Source organism: Homo sapiens, chromosome X (genome assembly GCF_000001405.40).
Source record: "Homo sapiens chromosome X, GRCh38.p14 Primary Assembly".
Lineage (NCBI taxonomy): Eukaryota > Metazoa > Chordata > Mammalia > Primates > Hominidae > Homo > Homo sapiens.
Window position 1 is genome coordinate 151022930 of NC_000023.11, and position 802 is coordinate 151023731.

At 37.2% G+C, this 802-nt stretch overlaps 1 pseudogene; it reads right to left on the minus strand.

Moving 5' to 3' along the window:
* On the minus strand, positions 634-802 carry RPL12P50 (ribosomal protein L12 pseudogene 50; annotated as a pseudogene).

The following is an 802-nucleotide window of genomic DNA, read 5'->3' on the forward strand; positions in this document are numbered from 1 at the left end:
TTTCTAAATGAAATACCTCCTTTAAAGGAATATAAATCTTTATTGACTGCATGCTATATTTCAGGAATGGGGCTTGGTGTTTTGATGTATATATGATATGGTATTTTATTGAATTATTCAAACAACCCTGTGAATGTGGTATTATTATCCCCATTTTATTGATGCCTGACGAGGCCTACCAAGGGAACATGAATGCCCAAAGTAACATACTAGGAAGTGGCAGAGCTGGGGTTTGAATCCTGGTCTGTCTGATGAAACCCCTATGGTATACAGCTGCTTTTATTCCATTGATTGACACCTGGCCTCATTTCACAATGGATTTGAGGCTGCTTACAATAAAACACAATTTAATAAAAGAGGAAAAGAGAATCAGGCCTAAAGAAAATAGAAACAGCAGTGGAAAATCAAGACCAGGTAAAGAACTGTATGAATATGAAGAACATCAGAGCTACAGTTAAGAGTAAGGATTGTTGTTGGCTCTGAATTTCCAGGCTGCCAAAGCAAAATGGGAAAGCCAATTAGTTTTACAATTTTCATTACCAGAAGCAAGTGATTTAGCAGAAGCTAACAATAAATTCTAAAAGCCATCTTTGAAAGCTGTTAATGATACTGTCAATTCTTTTTTTTTTTTTTTTGTCAAATGATCCTTTATTGAAATATTTTCCTTTGTGCTTAACTGGCTGGGCATTCCATGGCACCACTGTTGATGTCATCTATGATGTCATGAGGGTGGTGGCCATTAACATTACAGCCCACAAACTGGGCAGTCCCCAGGATCTCTTTAATGGTTCCAGAGAGTTCT